Source organism: Homo sapiens, chromosome X (genome assembly GCF_000001405.40).
Source record: "Homo sapiens chromosome X, GRCh38.p14 Primary Assembly".
Taxonomy (NCBI): domain Eukaryota; kingdom Metazoa; phylum Chordata; class Mammalia; order Primates; family Hominidae; genus Homo; species Homo sapiens.
In genome coordinates, this window is record NC_000023.11 from 12,353,095 (window position 1) to 12,380,208 (window position 27,114).

The window sequence follows — 27,114 nt, forward strand, 5'->3', positions numbered from 1 at the left end:
TTGGCTGGCTTTCAGGACCAGAGACAGGGACCTTTCCTGGGCATGTGCCTCTCTGCATGGACTCACAGGGAAGACTCTGAACCTACCTGGACCTACCAACATAGACAGAAATGTATCTCAGAGGAATGTTCTCACTGGTAGTATCTGTCATTGACCAGCACAAGTCCACAGAGCAGATTTTAGAAAGAACAGCTCGAGCCGATTCTAGAGGCTGTGCTATATCACTCAAACACTTTCTCTGCATGGATTGGCCCATCTTAGCTCCCACTGAACAAACCCTTTGGCAATCCATTATTACCCACCTACTAAACATTCTTCCCAAAAGCGTGACTTCTGCCTTGTGGAAGGCTAGAAACTCATCTCACTGGACTCGCTAGCTGAAGCTCAAAGTATTTGAGTTGCTCATCAGAAAGTTGTTCAAGGACAAATTTACCATGAATTATCAACCCTTAAGCTTCAGAGCTTTTCACTTGCAAAGACCTTTTGTAATACCCTGTATCTAATGTAATTTTGCATTCGTAATTTTGTGTTCATGCTCTTAAAGAGGTCTCGCTTAAAATTGTATAAACTTCAGGTCCCAGCAAACCTGGATAAGCACCTGGCTTCTGATGTCTAACATCTTATTTGACTGATTTTATTTATTTGTTTATTTGTCTTTGAAAGAGAATTTAGAAATTGTATAGACGACTAACAATTCTTTGTGACAGAACATTACAATTAGTTGTGAAGTGTGTTTTGATTAATGAGAATAGTGGCCACTATTCACTGAGTGCTCATTTTGCCCTAGGTACAAGTTTCAACAGGATTTCCTTAAACATTCATGACACTCCTAGGAGAAAGACACGACTACTGTATTATCCTTACTTTTCACAAGAGGGAAGTGAGCCTCAGAGGAGTTAAAGAAACGTGCCAGGATCATATTTCTAGAAAGTAATAAAGCCAAGGCACTTTGCTTTTGCTAATAATGACCTACTAAAATGTTTAAATGATTTTCTATCTCAAACCTGCTTAAAACATAACCTAGTACAAATTTACTAGCATCCCCAATATTAAATTTTCAACTGTCTAGTAGGTATGTTCTCTGTTGGGAAATAATTTGTCTAACGCAAGTTCATCTCATTCATGACATGTTATCTCATTCATGACATGTTAAAAAAGACAGTCTATTCCCATGTGAATATCAGTCATTTTCAGTGGAGGAAAAATATTAAGAATACCTGAGCTGGAATACCTGTCTGCCATTGTTTCAGAGGGTATGGGAATGGCTACTCATGCTCAGGAGTGGGAGATTGGCTCGCAGCTTGATGCAGCATCAATGCCATACTCTGCCCCCAACTCAGCAGACCTCAGAGGCAACCTACAAATCTTCAGACTTATTAAAGAACTGGCTACACAAAAGCCTGAACAAAGCTGAGTTCATTTTCATGGTTTCATGGTTTCACTTTTTTCCCGACTTTATTCAGTCTCACAAACATTTTCCAGCATCGGATAATATAATCTTGAGCTTTGGATTCAGGCCAAGACGTCATTCCTTTGCTATTTAATGAAAACCTTTCCTAACTTTTTAGACCCAAGTAAGACACTGCTCCTGACAGTATAGGTCTTTTGAAAATTTAGTTCACTGTGATTATTTTTTTCAAGTAGCTGTATAATCATTAATATAAATCATTCTGTTGAAGAACACATTAAAGGAGGTGAAATAATGCTGTATAGAACTATAAAATCTATCCACTAATGTCAAGTGACAGAATAAGATGTCATTGCCTTTCTTCTCCCCACTGAAGGAACAGGGATTAAAATGTAGCGCAATTAAAGACGTTTGGGGAGAATATTAGCAAATCTCACTTTACTGTGTGAATTTCTACGTATCATGGGCTTCTAAGTTTGGTTTTTCCTTGATTTAATCTACATAAATGAAAAAGCCATTTGGAAAACTTATAGTATGGATAGCATGGCATTTTTCCTCTAAGGGAGAGGTAATGGGATGGTTTTTCCTTCCTGGTATTTCAGTATCTACTTAGCACATTATAAGCATGCTTTCTGCATTGAGGTTTATGTCTATACTTGTAGTACTAGTGAGATGCTACCTTTTTTTTTTTTATATAAGATCTTACTCTGTTGCCCAGGCTGGAGTGCAGTGACATGATCACAGCTCACGGCAGCCTCGACCTCCTGGGCTCAAGTGATCTTCCCACCTCAGCCTCCTGAATAGCTGGGACTACAGGCGTGTGCCACCACTAAGCCTGGCTAATGTTTTGTAATTTTTTGTAGAGACAGGTTTCACCATGTTGCCCAGGCTGGTCTTGAACTCCTGGGCTCAAGCAATCCTCCTGCCTTGGCCTCCAAAAATGCTGGAATTTCAGGTATGAACCACTGTGCCTGGCCAAGATATGACTTTAAATATGCCTGAAGCACTTCCACGTTCTGTAGTTCTCAAAGTGGCTGCAAAGTTTTAATGAAAGTGTAGTAAATGACAAATGTTATTATATTAGGTGCCTGAGGAAAGTGGGATAAATGAGTGAATTTTCTTCCTCCAGAATGAGAGATTTTTCAAGATGAGTGTGAGTAGGTGAATTATATGGCTCTTCCTCTCCAGCTTTCTTTTGGAATGAGGTTTTAGTTTTTTTCTATGAGGGAGGAATTTGCAACTTTCATATTACTTCTTTGCTCCTAATGTATCAGATAGTGTAGGGGCCAAGGAGAAACCTTCTCCTTCACCCTCTGAAGATTCACTGGAAATCGACTCACAAAAGGAGAAATAATATTCAAGTTGATTAATGCCCACATGAGAAGGAACGTCAAAGTGATTGCCCCACTCTGCCCTGAGGTGCAGAAGCACATATACCATCTTGAGGTTACAGAAAGACTGGGGACGTGGATTTTGGAAAAACAGGTTATGGGAGGGGAGAAGAGGCCCGGCTAGCAAAGAGGATCTTATTGTGTAGATGAAATCTCATAGGTAGCAGCCCTCAGAGAGAAGAGATGGTGAATGTTTCTTTCAGATCTTTAAGGAGTCAGAGTGTTAATCTTCCTCACATTCGGAAAACGAAGGGCCTCAGAGAAAGCCTGGGTGCATCAGTGCAGATTTCTTCTACAGAGCAAATCTCTCCTACAAAAGCCAGCTTTGCGGGGCTGCTTCTGTCTGCTGGCTCTCTGAACAGCCATCTCCAAATATGTCAAAGAAATATATTTTGGGGTGAAATATTTTTATTTTCTTCAGTAGCAAAATCAAAGCCACTATTTAAAAAGGGTGGCATTAGGGAAAGATTCTTGGCATCAGAGTCATTTTATATTTGAGTATGAGCTACATACTTGGAATGGACTGAATGTTTGTGTCTCTAAAATTCCTATATTGAATCCTCATCCTGAAGTGATGGTATTAGGAGGTGGGGCCATTAGGAGGTAACTAGGTCATAAGGGTGGAACCCTTGTGATGGGATTAGAGCCCTCATTAAAAGGGACTCCAGGGAGCAATCTCTTTTTGTCATGTGAGGACACGTGTGACTATAACAAAAACCACTCAATTGTATACTTTAAAAAGGTAAACTTCATGCTTTTTGAATTACATCTCAATAAAGCTGCTTTTAAAAAATACATGTAACCTTGTAAAATCTATGCATTTTATGGGCACATGTTCCTTTAATACATAAATGCCATTGTGCTATTAAAAAAAGCATAGCCACAGTTTGCTGGTGGCTACTGTATTGAACAGCACCAATTTAGAACATTTCCATTATCTCAGTAGGTTCTGTCTGACAAGGCTGCCCAAGAGAGAAGATACTCTATAGATAGTAGGTTCTCAGAATATTCTTCCCCGCTTCTCACTATTATTCCCTTTTAACCTTACTTCCAAGCATGTACATTTGTTGAAATGATTGTTTTGAAATCATCTATAAGACTTGTTTCAACTCTAATAAAATTCTTCCAGAAAGCTCTAGGGGAAAGATATTTCTTTTACCTAACATCCATTTCTCCAATCCTGGCTATTCTTATTTTAAAATTTTTCCTTGGAAGTATTGGATATTTCATACTTGGGGTATTGATGTTGGAGGCATCTAATCTCATCCCAGTAAATAAGTAGATACCTTTTCTAGTAGTAGACTTAGAACACTGTATGTCATTGGCACAAATTATTAATATTTTCATTGGGAGAATTAGCTACTAAAGATTTTAAATTCCTTAACTATACTCAAAGGGCAAAAGAAGTGACAACTAACATATATTGGAATATGGTCTGTGTGCCAGGCCTTGCTAAGAACTCTATATTTAGTGACTCATTTAATCCTCAGAACTCTATGAGGTAGGTACTACTATCCTCATCTTGCAGATAAGTGTATAACTGGAATATAATGTTTAGCCTCTGTAATCTGAACCCAACTGTGTGCAAATCAGATGGGAATTCACTTTACCCAAATCCATGACAACAAGACCTGGCATTGAATAGAATCCATCATTGGCCACAGCAAACCTAATGAAACTGTAGATCATACAACTTCCTGGGTGACTACATGTCCTGGCAATTTACTCAGGTCTTTCTCTTTCTCTGAATTGGGAGCATAGAATGAAAACAAGTTGTGAGCAACCTGAACCCCACAGGCCACATGTGAGGCACATTTAACCTGCTTTATGCCTTTGGGGCTTTGCTCCTTGATTATTTTAAACAACTTTATTAAGGTATAATTTATGTACCATGCACTCATTTAAATATATAAGTCAATGATTTTTAGTAAATTTACCGAGTTGTGCAAGCATCACCATAATCACATTAAGATCCCTTTTGCTCATTTTCAGTTCATTCCTGTTCCCATCTCTATTCCCTGGCAACCGCTACTCTACTTTCTGCCTCTATAGATGTACCTCTCTGAACACTTCGTCTAGATGAAATCATACAAGACATGCTCTTTCGTGATTGCCTTCTTTCATTTAGCATAATGTTTTCAAGATTCATCCATGCTATAACATGTATCAGCACTTCATTCCTTTTTACTGCTGAATTGTATTTCCTTAAATGGATATCCCACAATTTGTTGATCAGTTCTCCAGTTTATGAGCGTGTGGGTTGTTATCACATTTTGGCTATTAGGAATAATGCTGCTATGATTTTTTTTTAACTTTCTACTGCTTTCTCAGATTATGCAATATACACACAACTTCTCATTTTTGTCTCTGCCCCCACCCCTCCTAGGTATAGACAAGGAATAAATTAAGACCCCAAGGCCAGTAGATATGTCTCCTATCTGGGGCAAATTATTTGTAAGTCCTTATCCAGGGCTCTTGGATGCTTAAGTTAAAGGGCTTATGTATTTGGAGAAGTGACTGTCTTATCTTGTATATCTATTTGGTGATAGAGGAAATATGGTGGTTCCCATGTTGGTGGCTTCGTGTCTCCAAACTGCAGGATTGCACAGTAAATCCTCCTATATTGCCAGCTTTGTGACTTGCCATTTACTTGGACTTTACAATTGTGCATAAAGACCCCCCAAAATCTCAGTTCTTAAGGTGTTTTTTACCCTTCCGTTTTAAATCCCTTCCTTCAGTAAGTAATTTTACAGTTTGGTCCCTGGAAGTCTCTGAGAAAAGTCATTACTTACCATGATTTAAATTTGAAGAGAAAAACATTGTGACACCCAGGGAAGGAGAATTCAATTCTAGTTCTCTAAGCGGAAAAGGGATGGCTTCAAAAATTCAGTGCTGGATGTCTGTAAGAACAAGTGGGGGAACCTCTACTACAAGTGTTCAGAATGGAGCTATCCCTTGCTCGGTTCCTTATCATTTGATTTATGCCTCACTCAGTGTGTCAGTCCTAATGATTTTTCACTGGCTTTCCAAATAGACATTACTTCTATAACCGCAACAACAGTGTAAAATATGCTGCAAAGTTTGCCCTGAAGGGAAGCACTGTCTTTTTTTTTATATATTTAAACAAGGGTACAGAATGCTGGAAGCTATCATCAATGCTAGATGGAGAGAATGCAATATCTCTTTCCATGATGCTGCAAATGTCATTGCTGGTAGGTCTATTAATAGCCCAGAGTGATTTTTGACCTTGGATTTATTAAATTAAAGAAGCTATAAAAATAGAGATGAATAGAATGAACTAACTGATGGAAATCCAGGGCATAGTCCCCATTTAACTATTTTCCCTTATGGATATTTAGCATATTATGTGGGGGTGGGAGTACAGAAATATACATAAAATTAATGTTTTCTGTATAACTCCTTTCAGAATGTAAATATTACTCTCAACTTAATCTGATTGAAAATAAGAAATCTTGTCAAGTTCACATACTCTCATTTTCTGCCATGTTGTTTGTTTTCAAGGAACCACTGCTGTGTTCTTAACAAAGTATCATCATTCTTTTTTTGTTTTCTTTTTTCTTTTTTTTTTTTTGAAATGGAGTCTTGCTCTGTTGCCCAGGCTGGAGTATAGTGGCGCAGTCTTGGCTCACTGCAACCTCTGCCTCCCAGGTTTGAGCGATTCTCCTGCCTCAGCCTCCCGAGTGTAGCTGGGATTACAGGCATGCGTCACCATGCCCAGCTAATTTTTATATTTTTAGTAGAGATGGAGTTTCACTATGTTGGTCAGGCTGGTCTTGAACTCCCGACCTCATGATCCACCCGCCTTGGGCTCCCAAAGTGCTGGGATTACAGGCGTGAGCCACCGTGCCTGGCCACAAAGTTCCATCATTCTTTTGGAAAGCAGGGCATCCGGGGAGGGAGCGGTTTTCCTCTTTCCTTTCTCACACTTATGCAGTTGGTTATAGTTCATCTATTGGAGGACAAGGTTGGGGACCCTCGGTGTCTCATGTGTGACATCAAAATCTCTACCTCATTTGGTGATGACCACAATAGACATTTAAGGCCATCCCTGGGACTTGACTGAGCCTGTGAATCACGCTTGATGGAGCTGCCCCTTCTGAGATTTTGAGTTAATGCTACTTTTCTATTTTTAATAGCATTCTTTGATTGTTCAAAGTTTGCTTTTGCTTTTATGTTTGTTTCCCTGGTAGGCTTATCAAGTTGAATGTTACAAACATAGTGGTTCAGGTACATACTGTACATACTGCACTATACCTTGATCATTAAAGGAATTTGATATTTTAGGTTATGGACCCAATTAAATGATACCAGCCATGTATGTCTCAGTGTGAATAAGTTCATTTTGATTCTATCCTGAATCTGGTTGGGATTAGGAGGCATTGAGACCAAACTCTGGTAATTATAAAATTTTGCAAAAGATTGGCCCACTTAGTGAGTTGAGCTTGAAAATATATAGTTCACTGGGAACATATGGGGATGCCTTAGTTGAGGGCAACCATCCATATATGTACATTGGCAAGCCTGATGTTTTCAGCCTCGTTTTTTTTATATCAAAACTAAACATGTAGGGGGAAAAAAGATGAAAAAAAGATTGCTGTGTCATTTCCCTTTTACTCAAATTCCAATTATGAACAAGTCTGAGTCACTATTGGTTAACAGTCTTCTGAGATGTTAAGAGTAGTCATGCAGGCCAACTGATACAAATTCCTTCTTATCTTCCCACAAACTTAACAGGTACTAAAATCTCATCATGCTCTGGGTAATTCCTGACATTTCCTTACTAGTTACAAACTAATTGATTGCCAAACTCTGAGTCCATGCTACATGTTCCTCCATAGAGACGGCAACCAAATCTTTGGGAAACTATTTCAAGAAATGAGTGTATTTGACAATTATTTGGTGTTCAAACAATGTAGTTTTCTGAGAGTTATGCTTCTGCTTTATGGTTTATTTATTTTCTAGTCACTTGGGAGAAACTCAGAGACATCTGTAGCTTCTTGTATTCTATGGCTTTTTTTTGCTAAAATCTCAAGCCATGAAAAGAAAAAAAAAAAAAAAAACGGTAAGTATTTTGAACCCTGCAGACCTAAAGGAAGCTCTGAGGCTTTGGAAAATGATCACAGAAGTCACCCAATTTTGTTCTCATTTTGTCAGCTCACAGTCATTAGAGAAGATGAAATTTCTCTGAAAAAACAATGAGTCAATGCAGTGTAATTGTTGAGTTTAATGGCCTTATCTTACAAAATAATGCAAACTGGTTATTTCTTGAACTATGTCAGACTGTGCAATCCTGACATTGCACTTTTCTGAATCTAGCATTTAAGGTACATTTCAAAGAATACTTCTGTTTGGTTAAGAGATGGCTTTTACAAATAGCCAGAACAATGAAATTTCAGTTGGAATATTAAGGAAACCTCTGTAGGACTGCATAAGCAATAAAATTGTCAAGGGGAATAATGGGTTTGCCAACTCTGGAAAGGTTCCAGGCTCAACTTGACATCACCTCTCTGTGATAATTTAGAAACCACAGGAGCAGGCTTGCTTTAATGCAGAAGAGCAGGTGGATGAGCCACTGGGCTTTGCTGGGAATGCCAGTCCTGTCTTTCCATTCCCTAAGATTTGATTGGTTAGCTTTTTCTGCTCACAGGGAAAAAGTTAGATGCAACTTGCTAGATGCAGTTTGAACCCAGTGATTTTCAAATATTTTGAGAAAATGACACGTTTTTGCATTATTTTTTGTGTATTTTGGTCTTTGGATATATATTTGAATATATATTTCAGAGTATATTAGGGCTTCTGTAACAAACTGGGAGGCTTAAAACAACAGAAAGATATTCTCTCACAGTTCTGGAGGTCAGAGGTCCCAAACCAAGGTGTTCTCATGATTATGCTCCTTCTGAAGGCTCTAGGGAAGCATCTTTCCTTGTCTCTAGTAGCTCCAGGCATTTCTTGGCTTATGGCAGCATCACTCCAATCTCTGCCTGTGTCTTCACATGGTCTCCTGTGTGTTTCTTCTTTTTGGCCTACTATACCTTATCCTCTTTTTCTCATTGGATTTAGGGCCCAGCCAGGTAATCTAAGATTCAACCCATTACAGACAGCAAAGGGGACTCCATTAAATCAGTAGGTAGTAGAAATATGTCCCTTTTTTTCTTCTAGCTTATATAGGCAATCTTAATCTTCTCTGGGTCTTTGGAAATATTAGGAGGGAAAGTCTGTCATCTAGAAACTTTCTTTATCCTACCCAATAGTAACTGACGATTCTTTTTTTTTTTTAGTTTTTATTTTTTTATTTTATTCTTTTTATTATACTTTAAGTTCTAGGGTACATGTGCACAACGTGCAGGTTTGTTACATATGTATACGTGTGCCATGTTGGTGTGCTGCACCCATTAACTCGTCCTTTACATTAGGTATATCTCCTAATGTTATCCCTCCCCCCTCCTCCCACTCCATGACAGGCCCCGGTGTGTGATGTTCCCCACCCTGTGTCCAAGTGTTCTCATTGTTCAATTCCCACCTATGAGTGAGAACATGTGGTGTTTGGTTTTCTGTCCTTGTGATAGTTTGCGAGAATGATGGTTTCCAGCTTCATCCATGTCCCTACAAAGGACATGAACTCATCATTTTTTATGGCTGCATAGTATTCCATGGTGTATATGTGTCACATTTTCTTAACCCAGTCTATCGTTGTTGGACATTTGGGTTGGTTCCAAGTCTTTGCTATTGTGAATAGTGCCGCAATAAACATACGTGTGCATGTGTCTTTATAGCAGCATGATTTATAATCCTTTGGGTATATACCCAGTAATGGGATGGCTGGGTCAAATGGTATTTCTAGTTCTCGATCCTTGACGAATCGCCACACTGTCTTCCACAATGGTTGAACTAGTTTACAGTCCCACCAACAGTGTAAAAGTGTTCCTGTTTCTCCACATCCTCTCCAGCACCTGTTGTTTCCTGACTTTTGAATGATCGCCATTCTAACTGGTGTGAGATGGTATCTCATTGTGGTTTTGATTTGTATTTCTCTGATGGCCAGTGATGATGAGCATTTTTTCATGTGTCTGTTGGCTGCATAAATGTCTTCTTTTGAGAAGTGTCTGTTCGTATCCCTCGCCCACTTTTTGATGGAGTTGTTTGATTTTTTCTTGTAAATTTGTTTAAGTTCTTTGTAGATTCTGGATATTAGCCCTTTGTCAGATGGGTAGAATGTAAAAATTTTCTCCCATTCTGTAGGTTGCCTGTTCACTCTGATGGTAGTTTCTTTTGCTGTGCAGAAGCTCTTTAGTTTAATTAGATCCCATTTGTCAATTTTGGCTTTTGTTGCCATTGAGCAACTGGTGATTCTAAATTACATTACTACCAGGATATTTTGCTCTTTGAAAATACTTGCCTCATGGGTGATACTTTTTCAAGGCCCATATGTCAAGTATTAGCTAAATGTTTGCATTTCTCTTTGAGTCCTGGGACAGACAGGCAGGGCTCACAGGGCATGGAATTTAGCAGTGGTTACATCTCAAGACTGTATAAGTCCCAAGAGATCAGCTACTAGCTGACACGCTAAGGAGAGGGATGTCAGAAAATTCTCAGCAGCAGTGGAGGAAAGCGGAAGAGGAGTGGTACCCAGATGAAGAGTGAATAAAATCCCCCTAAGCCACCATCAGAGACCAGGCCAGCCACTCTTCATTTCCATGGCCCATACTGCCAGGGCTTTGATGGGTACATAGTATTCCACAAGTTACAGTGCCAACCAAATACAGTTGCAGGTACCTATCATTAATGTTATTTGGCACATTAAACAACTCAGACACCCTACCTTTGAGTCACCGTTTATTCCATTGTTGTGGCGTGTGTGCATTGTAAAGAAGAACTTGACAGCCTCTTTAGGGAGTGCGGTGACAAGTTGCCAACATGACAGCCAGGAAGTGGCATCTTGCAAATAAAGAAGCAGGTGATGGCCCTAGTGTTAGCACCATGTGGTTAGAAACAGGAGAGTACATTAGGTGATGGAGAGCACTTAGGAATGAGGTCAGCTTTTCTAAGTTTCATTCAAACAACATCTATTGCAAGTTCATTACAACCCATAAGAAACTTCATTTGCTGTTTAGAATCTATGAGGTGTCAGAAACTTATGTTTCCATATCAAGGAAAAAATGAAATCTCCATTTTTTCTCAAGATAGATGAGGAATCAGATCCTCCACCCCCAAGCCCTACCCCACTGCCACACACACACACATACACTTCTAAAATATAGTGTATTCATAAAAAGTGTGAGGTATAGTAAGGCCAACAGATCAGGAGATGACTGCCACTGAAGAGACAGTTTGTTACAGTTCCCAAGAGGAGGGGGTCTATTACACCATGGTGGGGCATGTGGGAAAGCACCAGCATAGGTCAAGAGGCGGAAGGAGAAGGGTGCAACTGTGTACAAGAGTCTTTACTTGTGGTTTTCATGGGAAGGAACAGGTAAGGCAGGATGATCAGGCTTGGGAGTGGCCAGTTTCAGTCATTTCGGCCTGCTCTGGGGCAAAGCAGGTGTCCTTGGTTTTCTGGCTCCTGGCCCTGGGGTGATTAGGGCAGGTGGATGGTGGCCTGGAGTATGAGAGCTCCATAAAGGAGGTGGTTGGGCTGTGGGCTGTGTATTGGTTGGTTTGTATTTGAAAACTGTGCCCTCTGGAGGAAGAAGACTCCTGAAGAGAGATAGAGATGGTGAGGGAGGCAGGAGTCCAGGCAAGGTGACTCAGGCATAACATCCTATTATCTAAAGCAAGATGTGTCAGGTAGATGTTAAAGCACCAAGATTATATAGAAGCTAGAAACATGGTAAATATGCACCCCGTCATGTGCGCCCCCCGCCCTACCACCAACAAAGCCATAGAGACTGATTTGTTGAGATTCAAATAGCTTCCCCTGGTTGGAGACTACTTGAAGTCCTGAAATTCTCATTGGTTGGTTGATTCCTTTCTTTCTTTACTTATTCCTCAAAGTCTAATGCACATCAGCCAGGAAAGTTATACCTAGGGGTAGGCTTCCAGCTCCTGACCTCACCTCTACGTGTCCTGGCCTAGAGGCCCATTGCGTTCAGCTGGTGTTCTGCTGAGACATGGCCCTTAATTTGATTCTGTATCTTTGTAAACAGCCCATTTGAGAACACATCTGGGGCTTCCTTCCTGGAAACCAAGCTCAAGGGGGTAGATGGGAAGCAGAAACCTGAAACTGGTGGTGAACATGAACCTACTTTGCAGTATGAAGGATCCTTTGCCTTTCTTTTCCACTTCTTGATGCCAGGATGTTTGGAGAGGGTGGGAGAAGGGAACCTAAAATTTGAAGCAGAAGATCTGAGTTCCAATCAGAGACTTGCACCTCCCTTCTGTGGGACCTTGGGCCGGATACACCTCTCAGCCCAGGCCTTACAGCTCTAAAACATGGGTAATTCCTGCTAGAGGGGTCGATTAGATGGTTTGAGAAAAGGCTTTGCAGATAAGATAGAGCTCTATCAGTGCCTTTCTTGATTGTGGTTCCTGGCCACATGGGTATAGGGACAGGCAGTTTTGAAGTAGTGAGCTTATCATCAGCACCCTTGGCTTCAGTTTTGTGGCTCCTATTCCTACCTCACACTGTTCTTTTCACCAAGTGCTGGGGCCTTCCCACTGTCCCTCTGTTGTCTGAGCCTGTCTTTTTGAGGTCAGACCTCTTTCCATACTCCCACGATTTCATGGCCTATAATATGTCCTCCTTCTCCTTCATCTCTTTGGATTCACTTGCCTCTACCCATTCCATTAGGGCCATTCCAGGTAGAAGGGCACCTGTCCTGCCACCAGGGCAGGGGCAGGGGGCAACCAAGGGAGGAGAGGGCTGGAAGTTTTTATTTTCTGTGTCTTGTCTCAAGTTTTCCACCTTATTTCTGCCTTCTGTCCTACCATCTTCTTTATTTTATTTTCTACTGTATTTTCTGCTCCCTGTAAGTCATTCCTGTGTTCTTTTATTTGTTCATTTATTCATTCAATAATTCCATTCACTAGGCTCTGTGCTCAGCACTGGAGAGAGATGAATAAGCGTTGCCCTCAAGGGTTCAGATTGGCAACAAACAACTGAATAATTAATGCCCTAAAAATGTGTTTTGCCTTATGATAGGGGTTGGGATAGAGTTGGAGAAACTTGAGGCAGGAAGCTGCTGAGTTGGCCTTGGGGTTCAGGGAACATCAGCAGAAGTAAGACTTCAGCTGGGTCTGTCTGCAGTACACAAAAGGGTTTGCCAGGCCAAGAAAGTGCGAGGTCATTTCAATGAAGGCAAAGAATATGGTCAGCCTTACAAAGGGATGTATCAGGAGTTTACTGTTGGTGGACATAGAGGATGGGACCTCGGGGCCATAGGAAGCTGATGAGAAAGGTGAGGCTGAATGATGATGAACCTCCTTGCCATCAGGAAATTGAAATGCATCCTGGAGGCTGTAGGCAACCAGTGGGATTGAACAGGGGAGTGAGAAAATTAGACAGGATCATATTAGCAAAACATAACTCTGATGGCAGTGCAGAGGGTGGACTGGAGGCACAGAGACTAGTTTCAGAGTCTAGGTGGGAGTTTGCAGCAGTTGTCCAGAATAGAGATGAAAATCACATAAATAAACCAAGGCATTAGCAATTTTCATGCATTTATTCATTTATCAGAAATGATGCAGACACTGTGTATGAGCACACCCACCCAGTGTCCCCATGGGCCAGACTATGCCAGCTCAGGAAATCTGATATCTCACAAGAGTGATCCAGTCCTTGCTCTGATGGATATACAGTCTCTTAGGAGAGAGGCATTGGATCCAGTGACACACGGCCAAGTGGCATGTGCATTGAAATAAATCTGCATGGGGCTGTGGGGCATTGAGCAGGGGCTTTGAGCCAGTGCCACTTGAGCCGAAAGTTGAATGGGGCTGAGTGTATAGTAGCTAAGTCTTGAGGTGGCTGAAGCACAGAGGACCAGGGTAGAGGGGTACCAACCCAGCAGGGTCCACTCTGTTCTGCTGCTTCTCTCTCTGGGTGGGCTGCTGCCTGCGGTGATGGCCAGGGCAGGGAATATCATCAAAAACCAGGCAGGCACACAGACTCTGCACTTCAGGCCAGCTCCTTGGGGGCATCAGGAGACCAAGCCTTTGCTTTTCCTGGTCCGTGGCTTGTACTTGCCTGGGAGCAGGTGAAACAGCAGAGACATATACAACCTTGCTTTTCCATTCACATACCTGCCTAGACTTAGTGGGGGAAGAACAGGATGACTAGAAGTTCTCAAACATGAAGGCTCGGTTTTCTGTAAACTCCAAACTGCCCCTCCCCTGCCTTTTTGCCCTTTCTAAATACAGATGAGGTTTCTATCCAGCTGGACCACCTCTGGGTGGGCAGTACTGCCCCTTCCCGATCCCATTCCGGCCTGCACATATAGCACTGCAGCATTGCCTACCCCAGGGGCACCCTTCACATTTCATGCTAATGAAGGTTGACTCCTGGAATCATGGCTACATTGCACATAGCACCTTCTTGAGTTGCGCAATGAACCATCCTTAGTGGCTGCCCTAATTGCCGATTTCCACTTTGACAAGGATTTATGGATGCCAGTGTGCAGAGAGGAGATTGGAGGGCGTGGGATTCGAGTGGAGATGTAAGGAGTCCAGTTACGGGGCCGCTGCACTCGTTGGAGAGGAGTCGATGGTGCTTGGGGCAGCAGAAGTGTCGGATGGTGGCAATAACCATGAGGGAAAGGAGATGCTTCGAGGTCCTTTCAGGATGTAAAACTGATGGACCTGGTCAGGGATTAGACATGGAAGGTGAAGGAGATGATGTCAAGGCAGAACCTTAAGTCAGGAGATGTTAGGAGCTAGTGAAGAGTTTTGTGGAAGGGATTTATCATGTTACTTAAAAAGGAAATAAGAGAATAAATAGGCTGAATGTACTTTCATCTTCATGTAAAACAAAATAAAAACTCTTCTTAGGAGGCTTGCATACCTGACTATACCTGTCTATCCTCATCACTGACACCCACTAATCAGATCTCTATCTAGGCTTAGGTCCCTGTTCTCTTTCTCACCCATCCTCCTGCATGACCTTAGCATCTGTGGAGATGATGCCTCTAATGCAATGACCATACATTGCCAATCCATTGCAGAAGCCCTCTCTTTCTGGTACATCCCAGAGCTTGGCTTTTCCCCTGGGAGACAGGAGAGTGTGGTGGTGAAGAGCTGGCCCCCTGGAGTAGACTGCCTGGGCTTGAGCAAGTGACTACATCTCTCTGCCTCAGTTTCCTTCCCACAACACTCAGAGGCAAGTGCTAAAGGAGATGAAATATATAAACCAGTGACACTGCAGCCCAAAGCTTTGGTCTGTACCATTTCAGGTAGCTGGAGATAAGTGTACAACAGCTGACGTTACCAGGAGGAAGAAAGAGACTGAATATAATGTACCACCAAAGTTAGAAAAAACAACTAGTATAAATTATTTGTGCTGTATTCTTTCCAGTAAAGTGAGGCCCAGTGCTAAATTAAGAAGGGAATACAGAAATAAAAAGAATGGTTGGCAGATTACTACCTGGCGAGGGAACATGTTTTACATCTTCTGCTCTGTGCTATTTTTTTTTTTTTCAAGTCAAGTCAATAGATTCAAAACATTTAAACATGACCTATTATCTAAAAACAACATGGCTGGGTGCAGTGGCTCACGCCTGTAATCCTAGCACTTTGGGAGGCTGAGGTGGGCAGATCACTTGAGTTCAGGAGTTCAAGACCAACCTGCCCAGTATGGTGAAACCCCATCTCTATTAAAAATACAAAAATTAGCTGGGCCTGGCGGCGGGCGCCTGTAGTCCCAGCTACTCCAGAGGCTGAGGCATGAGAATCGCTTGAACCTGGGAGGTGGATGTTGCAGTGAGCCGAAGTTGCACCACTGTACTCCAGCCTGGGAAACAGAGCGAGACTCTGTCTCAACAAAAACAAAAACAAACAAAAACCCATGATATGTAATAAAAGCTATAAGTTAACACCAAACTTACAAAAAGCATATAATAAATTCAGAACTAATTTAAACAGTTTCTGCCTGTCCTCCTTTCCTTCCCCTTTCCTCTGCCCCGCCCTTCGTCTTTACCCCACTTCATCTTTAGCTACTCTCTCTCTCTCTTCATCAGTAGCCCCCAGAAAACAGAACTTCGTAACATTGTATCATTTGCATTCTCTGATCTGGGGACTCTTTTCCCTTTCAAGGGGCAGTCTGCTGTATGTAAGGGCATTTTTTAAATTAAATAATCTTAAACTTTTATTTTAATTTTTTAAAATTAAAATAAACTCAGTTTTTTTTTTTTCATTTTGAGAATTCTTTAATAGTTTATGACACCACGCAAGTAACTGGAGTCATGCTGGTCTGTCTCCAAACAAGATTTAAGAAATCCTGTGTTAGAGCGTGGGTTATATCATTTAACTAACGCGGGCCTCCTTTTTGTCTGAATTGATTTCAAATTAAATGCAATACATGTATATTTGAGACTTGAGCTGGATACTGTTTCAACATTGGAGACACAAAAAACAAAACTTCTGAATAGAAGATGTGTAGTTTAGAATGGGAAATAGATTCAAATGCATAATTATACAATGTAAGAAGTGTTATAGGTCTATATAAAATACCAAGGTGGCCAATAACCATGCCTGTGGCATTCTGGGAAGACTTCATGGAGGAAGAAGTGTTGTTTAATCTGGTTCTTGAAACGTAAGTAGGAATTCAATAGTTGGAGAGAAAATGGCAGAGTCTCATAGTCAGTGGAAACTGCTGTTATAAAGAAGGGTCCTGAAGTACAAGATGCATGATAGAGTCAAGGAACATATGATGTGAGTGTGACTAGAGATCAGTAAGGAAGGCTGAGGCCAAGTTCAGACAAACAGGCCTAGTTCCTATGCCAAAGAGTTTGGACTTAGTCACTAGTAGTAATCTAAATCATCCATTCAGAGTAGTGACTTTCCTCCTCTATTATATAGAAATATGTATAATATATATATTTTACGTTTCATACGTATATATGCTTTTTGCCTCCTCTCCAATACTTAATGGCTCTGGTTTTTTTATTGGACTGAACTTTTGCATGTGAGCTTTCTAGTGTTGAGCAAATGCTCTTTCATTTATCATAATTTTCCAATTTTTTAAGAAAAATCTTTTCTGCTCAGTAACAAACACAATTCACAAAGAAAGAGAATGTCCACAGGGAATTTGCTTCCAATTGGTCACTTCATTTAAAGTTTTTGAACTGGGGCCGGGTGTAGTGGCTCACACCTGTAACCCCAGCACTTTGGGAGGCCGAGGCAGGAGGATCACTTCAACCCAGGAGTTTGAGACCAGGCTGGGCAACCCAGTGAGACCCCATCTCCACAAAAATAAATAAACAAGAAACAAATATAAAATTTTTGAACTGGGAAAGCAGATGAAGAAATGTAACAAAAAGCAAAAGCCCCATCAATTGGGAGTTATTCTAGCTATTTCACCCAGGAGGCTCACGTCATTACTGTCAGGGAAATGCACTGTCCCTCTGTGCTTGGCCTTGACCATATGGAGGAGAAAAGCTTGCTGGGGGACAAGAGAACAAACCCAAAGGCAATGCTTCCTAGAGCTGCCTGTAGCCCCAGGGCAGTGTCTCTCTCCAAGATTCAGCCTTCCTGCTGCAAAAATCTGCTCACGTGCAAAAGGCAGGGGTTTGGCAGATGCTTACAAAATGTTACAAGTGTTCCAAAGATAAAAGTATTACGTGAGAAGAAGGAAGGATTCTGGTGAACCCTGGCCTGTAGTTGTAATTCTCAAAGTTTTAGTCAGTGCGACAGCTGGCCTTTGTAAAAACTGCTAGAACCCAAACTTTCTTCCTTAAACATGTTTTAAATATTTGCTTCTCAACTGCTTGTCTTCAGGGACTTTATCATTAAGAATATTTGGAACCCAGAAAGCATCTGTGTCTTCAGTGAGATATAAAAATAGACCCAGTCTACTATGCTGTCCAGGGAATCTTATTTTATTAACAAGCAAGTGATATAGTAGTATCATTGCCAAGGGGAAATTTCTCTCTCCTGATTAAGTGTGCTTCCTGTTATTGGATAGGGAATGCAGAAATAGATTGCTTCCCTTTTTGCCTTGACTACCAGGAAACCTGTAGTTTTATTTAACATTAAATTGCTGTACACTAGCTATCTTCAGCCTAGGTTTTCTTAGGAAATTATATCACCCCCTTCTCTATTTGAACTTTGTATACTTGTTTTAATGGTTTTGTAGTATCTGTATTTCTTAGTATAAATTATCCAAATGACATTTACGTTTCCCCAAAAAATCACAATAGGAATTGGCTACCCATATGGCGTAGCCTGTTGTGTATGTATCTCCTGACCTGACCATAGCCCAGCCAGTTTATCTGGTCACCATTAAGTCTGAGAATTATGGTGGCCCAAGATACTTGAGAGGTGGGTAGAATGACAAGAAGAGAAGAAAAAGCATGGGGAGTAGAGGGGGAATGTCCCTCATTAACCCTTATTTTCTAAACTGATTTACTTGTGGCTTAAAAAACTGAGCACGAAATTCCTACATGAAGAGTTTCTTTTGGTTTCATTTTAATATGAGTATTTCAAAGATTCCTTTGCCTTCAACTTGTTAGAATGTCATGACAGTAACGATTGCAATCATTTAAGAAGTCTTTATTATGCTACAGGCAACCTCCAGATCTGCACAATGGTAGTTTCTGGGGAGATTAAATGTGCTACAGTATGCTAAATACTTAGCACAGTGGCTGACACATGAGATTAATAAATATGCCTATGATGATGGTAAAGAATAAATATGAATAGAGTGGCCACATATAGCAAATAAAAATACAGGACGCACAGTTCGATTTGAATTTCAGATAAACAGCAAACAATGTAAGTTTAGTGTAAGTATGGACCCTGCAATACTGGGGACATAACTTATACTAAAAACTATTATCCCATGCAACATTTGGGACATACTTATTCTAAAAATTATTATCCCATGCAATGGTTAAGATATAACTATACCAAAAAAATTGTTTCTCTGAAATTCATGTTTAACTGGGCATTTTGTGCTTTATCAAGCAACTCTAAATGTGAATACATGTAGAATGGTAGCTTCTGATAAGCACTGAGATACTTCCAGGAAACCAGCCCTGCTCCTCTGCAGAGAAGACTCACCCACTCATCATCTCCTGTGCTCATCCAGAAGTCTGGGCTCCATCAGTGTTTCTTGATTTGATTCAGATTTCCTGTCTCTATAGTCAATTTAATGTCAGCCACGGGCAGCTTCCCAGTGTTTGACATTCGCTAACTTTCAGAAGCTGCCGGAAACGTGTCAGCCTTACTCTGGTCTTTCCCAACCTTGGCTGAACAAAAGCATCGCCTGAGAATCTTAAAAATCCTGATACCCAGGTCACATTCCAGACCAGTTACATCAGAATCTCAGCAATGAGGCCAGGTATGGGTATTTTTAATGCTTTCCACGTTAGTTCCAGTGAATGCCTGGGATGAGAGCTGTAGCCTAGCCTTACAGGCCCTCTAAAGCCTTGGCTGAAGCAGTGATGCTGGCTCCTCCCAGGACCTGCTGGAATGTTCCTCCTTGTGTTCTGTTCTACTTTTCACCATCCCTACTAGCAGTATTTCCTCGTCTTCCAAAATAGCAGGGTCTGATTCCTGGTAATGGTGCTGAGACCAGGCGTGCTGGGTTCTCTGAGCAGAGTGTGTCGAGGCTATTGCCTTTTGCTATACAGGTTCTGTACATTGGGCCTCCAGGTTAATTGGGTTTCTAGAAGGATCCTAGGAAGATGACATGTCTTTTTCCTTTTTGTCACATGCTGACAGAGCTGGCCTCCCTTTCAACTGGGTTTGAGGTATTTCCTCAGAGGAGAGTGAGCTCTGAGTTGTAGAAGTGTCTGGGTGTGATTCAATCCAAGCAACAATCCTGAGGTACTGCAGGGCCGAACACCATCTTTCTGGGACTGGGTCCTCAGGACAAGCAAGGAGTTGATGGACCAAACCCTGGTTTCTAGTGCCACAATGGAGCCGAGAAGTCCTTTAGAACTTTGGGGGACAGCACCACTGACTTCTCTCCTCTTGCCGCCTCACCAGTTACAGGATAGTTTCCTTGTATTTTGGTCTTCATCAGGTACAAAGTTTAAAAACCTTGTATAGCTTAGCCCTTGATTTGTAAAGTCAAGTGCATAATCACAATATGCACAACCTAATGTTTTCACAAGGCAGGTTGATCACCCAGTTTGCTCTGTGTGTTCTCTCGATTGAAGTTCTAACCGACTTCTTAGTGGAAAGGAAATAATTCATTCTGCAGAGAGAATATTACATTTCGCATGCTTTAACCTGGGTGTTTAAAAATTCAAATTCTCCTATGACATTGCACTCCCTTTTTTGCATTTTAATTATTCTGGAGCTGTAAAGAGAGTTCAGGCACTAAGTAATAATCAGATGCTGAATGCCTAAACTCTACAGAGTGGTTGCTTTTAAAAACCTCAATCCCAGATAATAAATAGTGGGAGTTTATCAAGGCAAGTGGCATATACTTTTCCTGTGTTTTGATTCAGATGTGTAACAATTTCTACCTGCTGGTTTAAATTGGCCCAGAGAACACCTTTTGTGTTAAGCCCACTCACTGCTAGAAGGAACCAGCATCAATCTGACAATAGAATAATATTATCTCCCAACTAAACAAAGAAAGAAGCCAATAATCCAAAGCCCAAACTGTGCGGTCTCCTGCTATTTTTAGAACTTGAGGGGAAAAGAATCCTCTTTATTGTAAAAATGATCCAATTAAGTACGAAGTTAGCCACTGGGAAACACAGCGTTTTCTTTGCACACCATTTTGGAGACCAGCATTCCTTTTATTAAAGCAGAAAATGAAGCCCACAAAGCTGTCCGCTTTCCAAAGGCGGAACGGAGGGTTCCGGGTTCGCTTGGTTACCTGCATTGCAAATGTCAGCTGGCAGTTCTGGCAGGCTGCATCACCAGCTGCATGAAGTTGCAGAAGTAGCTTGACCTTATCATACTAAGATTACAGAAAACTTCCATCCTAACTCTGACTTAGCTCTCCCTGAATTTCCCCAAAGCCTTAAATTCAGTTTGCCTTTCCTTAGTTCTCCTGGATCTCCCAAATGAGAGCTCTGTAGATTTTCTGCAGGGAAATTATTCTAATTTAACAATAAAGTTGCTGTGCCTAAGTAGATTCATACTTTGAACAGGTTTAAGGAAAACAAAGCTGAGCATCTATAAATCTTTATGCAACTAGGAGCTGTTGATAAGTTTAGGAGTCAGGCTACCCATTCAAAAAGATATTATGTTACAGAATTTTAGACTCTAAATTTTGAGACTAGAGAGAAAGAGACTTTCTTTGAGCCCCAAATTAGAAAGCGTAACTTAAAATGGCAAATCATTTCCCCAAAGCCTATATGATCCATGCCAGAATTATCGATGCTGAGCTTGGACTAACTCCCTAGCCCCGCCAGGCCCCTCACTGCCTGGCCAGCTCTACTTGTTTCTCACTAGGGTGAGGCAAGTCAGCTGCTTGCCTGGGGAGCAAAACTTAAGGGGATGCCAAATACGCTGTAATCAAGATAAATAATATTGGAAGGCAGTCCTTTAAAAAACAAACGAATGCAAAAGAGTCCGAGATGAACAAAACCTTACTTGCCATTTTAAAGAAAGGCAGGATTCAAGAGGGCTAAGATTAGGGTGAGGGTAGGAAGGCAGGGCCATGCAAGCGCAGGGTCGGATCCCATCTTTATATAAAACTTTGGTGTTTTGACAGTTGATGGGTGGTGCTGTTTCTTGGGGGCCAGTATGCATCCAGCTGGCAGTTTGGGTAGTCAACATCACCTGTGCCTCCAAATAGAACAAACAGCTCTATCCTCCATCCCTAGCATATCACTTAGTTCTGCTTTGTTTCCCATTAGTTACCCATTCTCCCCCATTCTATGCTAAGCCCCTAAAACACAAGGATCTTGCCATACTTACCTCTGAATCCTCAGAACCTAGCAGAGTGTCTGGCTCTGGTTTGTGATATGCTTCCCTTTCTGTTTCATTGGTCTTAGAATCATCTTCCAGCCTCTGGCTGTCCAATCCCGACCTAGCGTCTTCTAGACTTGGCTTGTCCATTTGCAGTGACATCTGTAGCACTGGTAGGAATTACCATCTTCACAGGTGAACCTAATGAATGGAAACAGTCTGTAAAGCAGGATGGTTGGCTTGCAGATTATCCACCCTGACCACAGGCAGAGTTGACTTATTAGTTATCTATTGCTGTACAACAAATTCTACTAATTTAGTGACTTAAACAACTCAATTTATAATCACACAGTTTTTCTAAGTCAGAAGTATATGTCGTGACAGGGCTGGATTCTCTAAGGGTTTTACCAAGCTAAAATCAAGGTATCAAGCCAGGCTTGTGGGTCACCACTTCTAGAGCCTGGGTGCTCTTCCAGACTCAGTTTGTTGGCAGAATTCAGTTCCTTGCAGTTGCAGGACTGAGGTCCTGATACTCTTGACATGTGTCCCCTTCATCTGCAAGCCCACAGTGGTACACTGGATCCTTCTCATGCTTCCAGTCCCTCTGACTTCTTCTTCTGCGTTACTTTTCTGCCTTTAAGGGCTTGTGTGATCATTAATACATTGTAGCCATCCATATAATCTGGGATAATATCCCCATTTTAAGGTCAGCCGATCAATAAACTTCATTATGCCTAAAAGTCTCTTGCGATCCAACAACACCACAGACATGACACTAGAAGGTCAAGGTCATCGGGGGCCTAAGTTGTCCCCACCACAGCTGGCAATTCTGAAGGCATCCACATAAAGAAAGCGGATCATTTGCTGTTCCTGTTGGAATTTCAAGGCCCAGCCATCCGTAGTTGCTTCTCAGCTTTTCTTCCCAGCGTATTTGGGAAGATGGGAGGGAGTCAGCTGATTAGAATCACAGAGCTATTTCTGATGGGTCTGAAATCCCTCTTGTGGAATTCTTGTCTTTTTCTGGGACTTAGGCAGAAATATTTCTTTGAGAAATGGGGAAATGCATCCTGAATTCTAAGAACATGAGCCCCATCTGCTCAGGAGGTAGGATCTATCATTCATTCCTGTGTTCCTCGATGGTAGGGCCGAGCATGGCCCATGGGAGGCACTCTGGAAATGTTTACTGGAATAAATGAATGGATACATGAATTGATCCATCCTAAGCATCTTGTATTAGGAGTTTTTGAACTGATATTTATAGTCACCATTTCCTACCAGCTGTTTCCATATACCCCTGAATGCTGGGAGGCCTCATTCGATTGTCCAGGCTCCCTGTGAGCAATCATAATCATAAAAACCTTGCTTCCCTTCTGAGAAAGCTGGATGGAACATTTGCCTGAAAATTTTCCCTCCTAATCATTGGTGCTAACATATGCATCTGTTTCTCCTTCCCTATCACCACTCATGCTCCACAGGCTTATACTAATGGCTTCACATGTCTGTGCTATGATTAGAAACTGAATTTGTATACTTAGGTCTGGTGTTGAGCCCCAGAATCTACTAGATGTTATTTTTTAACCTGTCAATTTACCAACTATTTGTGAAATCTCCTAACCAGATTTCCCATTGACTCCTACGATGAGATTTACATAACTTGATATTTATTTCCACACTATCAATGTGTGCACGTGTGTGGGTGCACGTGCATGTGGACACACACACACACACACACTCATTCACCTGCACACACAGTTTCTTTATCCTTGGTTGGCAGATGTGAAAATTCTGACCATTTGTAAGATATTGGGTGAATTAGAATTTACCAATTATTATTTGGCTTATAACTCAGTCTCCTATGAGTTTGGTTAGTGTAACTTTCCAGAGATCTGCATAAGCCCTGGTTAAAGTGACCAAATAGAGTTTCTTGATCTGCAGAACTGAGCAGAACTCCTTAGACCTGAGTGATGACAGTCTGCATTTCCCAAAGAAATACTTCTGCCAAAGTTCCTGGGTACTTCCTCCCAATGGGGTGCTTGCTGCTCCCCTAGGGTCTCAGTCAACCTCAGTCATCTCACTCCCTGTAACAGAGGTCTCAGGAAAATGCTCCTGCTGTATCCAGATGCATGTTTTCCAAACTCACAGGTTGTGAAATAAGGTTAAGAAAAGGCCTTCCCAGGCCACACTGAGATTCTGCCCTGCATATCTAAACACGAAAGCACACAGGGCAACATATATAGCCATGCAAATTTAATCCCCAAACCAGGCTAGAAAGTTGGGGCAATTTTAAGGGGGACAAAAAATCAAAACAGTGTTGTCTTTGCAACTCAGTCAAATGTGAACTGTACGTGAGGGGAAAAATGTAAAATTAAATGTACCAGGAAAAATGTTTTCCTGCACTGCCGGTAACAGGTAATCAGATGGGATGTTGGCCATGGCCTGGTAGCTACACGTTATTATGCTATCACATACTTTGGACAGTGGCTTTCATTAAGGTTGTGTTTAGTGTTATGGAACAAAGATGAATCAAAGCCCCAGTGCCTGTTTTCCTGGATCCTTTCGAATGAAGGACTGCAGAGCCGTTACTTCTCAGCATAAAACTGACACACCACAATGCATCTGGTGGTCATTTTTCCCAGTCTTGAAAGTTGCTGATTGAAAAAGAGCAGCATGACATTCTGCTCACCCAACATCACCGTCACTCAGAATATCTCCCTGGGTGCAGATGAGAGCTCACAAAAGGTGCTTGTTTTAACAGACAATCACAACGTTTCAGGTGCGTGTGACTGGGTGGATGACATGTTGGCTAGAAGTCGCGATGCTCGCAGAAGTGCAGTGGGTGCTGGCAGTGAAATGTAAGCTAGCCCTGTAATAAAAGCTCCTGGGAATGCAGAGGATGCCTTGGCATTAGGCATTCTCCTCGTGTTTCACATAAATGCATCCTGTTCTCAGGAGCCGACGAGCAGTGCATTTGCACTGGCTCATTCAAATTGAATGTTGGTAAAAGGAGAGTCCTGTGCAAACAGAACAGTCTGGCATCTTTGAAGGCAGGAGCAAGGTTAAGCTATCGGTCGCGTTCTCTGCTGTTTATTAGATGTTATTTGCTGGCCTCAGTGCGCACCCAAGGTACGTTGCAAAGAGGCACCGATGGGGGCGACTGATGCTTGCAGGGCACCCATGCAATTTTGCCTGGGCTCTTTTGGTCAATAAAGTTCAAGGCTTCATTTGTGGTTTCACCTGTTGTCTTCAAGCCTGCCGGGGATAATGTTTTGCTGGAAGAGAAAACTCCTCTGGAGAGGAAATTGGTATTGTATTTTAGTCGTTGTTCTTCTTCTTGTTCAAGGCTACAGCTTTAACTTTGTCACAGCAAGAGTAAGGACAGCGAGCCTGTAGAGAGCTTTTCGCAATGTGCTTTTTCAATTAGTTTTAACGGGAGCGAAGCATCACCAGCAGCAGTGTTCGCTTGCTCTCTAGTCATGTGCTGTGAGGAATAAAGACTCTGTAGGGCAGTGAACCTGAACTTGGCCTATTCATCCATACTGCATTGAGTGATTGCATGGAGTGGAGTCAAATGCCACTTGGGGGTGAAGAGCACTCATCATCTTGCATTCCTGCTGGATATATTAGGAAGGACCCTTGACAGAATCCAGTAATTCAAAGGTAAACCATGAAGTGTGCGCTGTGTGTAGGAACATGTAAGCTGAGGGGAGATTGCACGGAGAAAGAGGGAGTTATATTTCACTTTTGGGGGAATGATGTATGTCTTAGATTTTCTTGGCCAATGGATCAGTAGAGAAAGGGAGAGATTTTCTCTTGCTGCTGACTTATTGGTCAGAAGTTACTTTTCCACATGATGATATATTTTCTTGGCCCCAAGTACTCAGAACTTTATTGTACTTCTGTCCCTGAAACAGGAGTGTTTTTAGTGAGAATCCTGGTGAAAAGCGAAGTTTTGACCACAGAAATGAATTAGTACATTCTTTGCTGCCTCTGTGTTCTTTTAGGTGAAATCTCATCTTAAGAATGCATTTGGTGTTTTGAAGTAGTGGTTCTAATTGTTTACTTTCCCAAAATCTGTAAGAAATGGCTTTCAGAGACACAAAAAACCCTGCAAAATGTGACTTTTGCCTTAGATTCCTTTCTAAAGATATATAGTTTACCACATTCCTTAGGGGGCAATCTTGAGGAGAGGGTGAAGCTCTAAGTTAAAACATGTCAACCACTTAATGAAATTTAGTACCATCTTTTGTAAATGATTTTTACATGTGTTTGTTAGGTTTAAATCAAGACTCTCTGAAGCAAGCAATATCTTTGGCAATATAAATTCCGTGCAAGTAATTGATGAATTTTGTGACTATAAACTTGTGCCTAGTAAATCTCTTGTCCACCTCTTTGAGCTCTTTTACATGCTGCATTAAAAATAGAAGGATAGGTTTTAATTAAACTAGGTATTGGATTTGCCCTCAGGGAGCTGAAGTGCAGTTATGTGGACATGTGAGTCCATGGTTTCCAATATACTTATCATATAAATTGCAATTTAAAAATAAATAAGTCTGCTGCTCTTTAGATCTTCAAGGTATTTTCTTTTATCACCCTGTACAACAGAATCTACTGAATATTTGTTTCAATGAATACTCAATTGAATAGACACATGATAATTTGTAATATGTTATAAATTTATATATAATATACATTTTATTGATATGCTGCCGTGTGTGTGTGTGTGTGTGTGTGTGTGTGTGTGTGTGTGTGTATCTTTCAGAGGGCTTTTTCAAATGTTAGATTGGGAGCAAGGCAATTTGTCAGCAGCAGAGTTAGTTAGCAAAACAGAATAAAGCATTCTTGGCATATAAATATTGGCTCTCAAAAAGAAGAGAGATGTTCAAGTATGCATCATTCAATGGTATTTCACTTGAGAAACAATGCTGGTGATTACTCAAGGATTCATTATGTCATGAGTGTAGATTGACACGTAGATTGAAGTTTCAGCACCAAAACCTGTGCATCTGATCTGAGAATGAGAAGCTGGGAATTGGGACAAAAATTTTGAGGAGAGAATGCAAAGTCTCCGGGGGAAATCAGTATTGGAAGTTTTAGCTTCTAATGGATTCCACTCTGGTACTAGGGCTCAACCGTATGGTAACTTGGTAGGAAAAATGATTTTGTTTGATGACACATTCTTCAATTGTTCTGAGCCTATAAAAGCGTATCTATCTTTTCCACTCCGTTTTGATTATTTAATGTTTTGTTTAAGGTACCAGTTAGGTTCTCCCAAGG

General features: G+C 41.4%; 1 protein-coding gene and 1 long non-coding RNA gene across 12 annotated transcripts in view; one reads left to right on the forward strand and one right to left on the reverse strand.

The window, feature by feature from the left end:
• The window catches only part of FRMPD4 (FERM and PDZ domain containing 4), a 902,085-nt gene that overhangs the window by 530,656 nt on the left and 344,315 nt on the right, over positions 1 to 27,114 (forward strand). The window lies entirely within an intron of this gene.
• On the reverse strand, positions 18,498 to 22,276 carry FRMPD4-AS1 (FRMPD4 antisense RNA 1). The gene is made up of 2 exons (NR_046743.1): positions 21,850 to 22,276; positions 18,498 to 20,167 (listed from the first exon to the last, which is right to left on the reverse strand). It is a non-coding gene; the product is annotated as an FRMPD4 antisense RNA 1 (long non-coding RNA).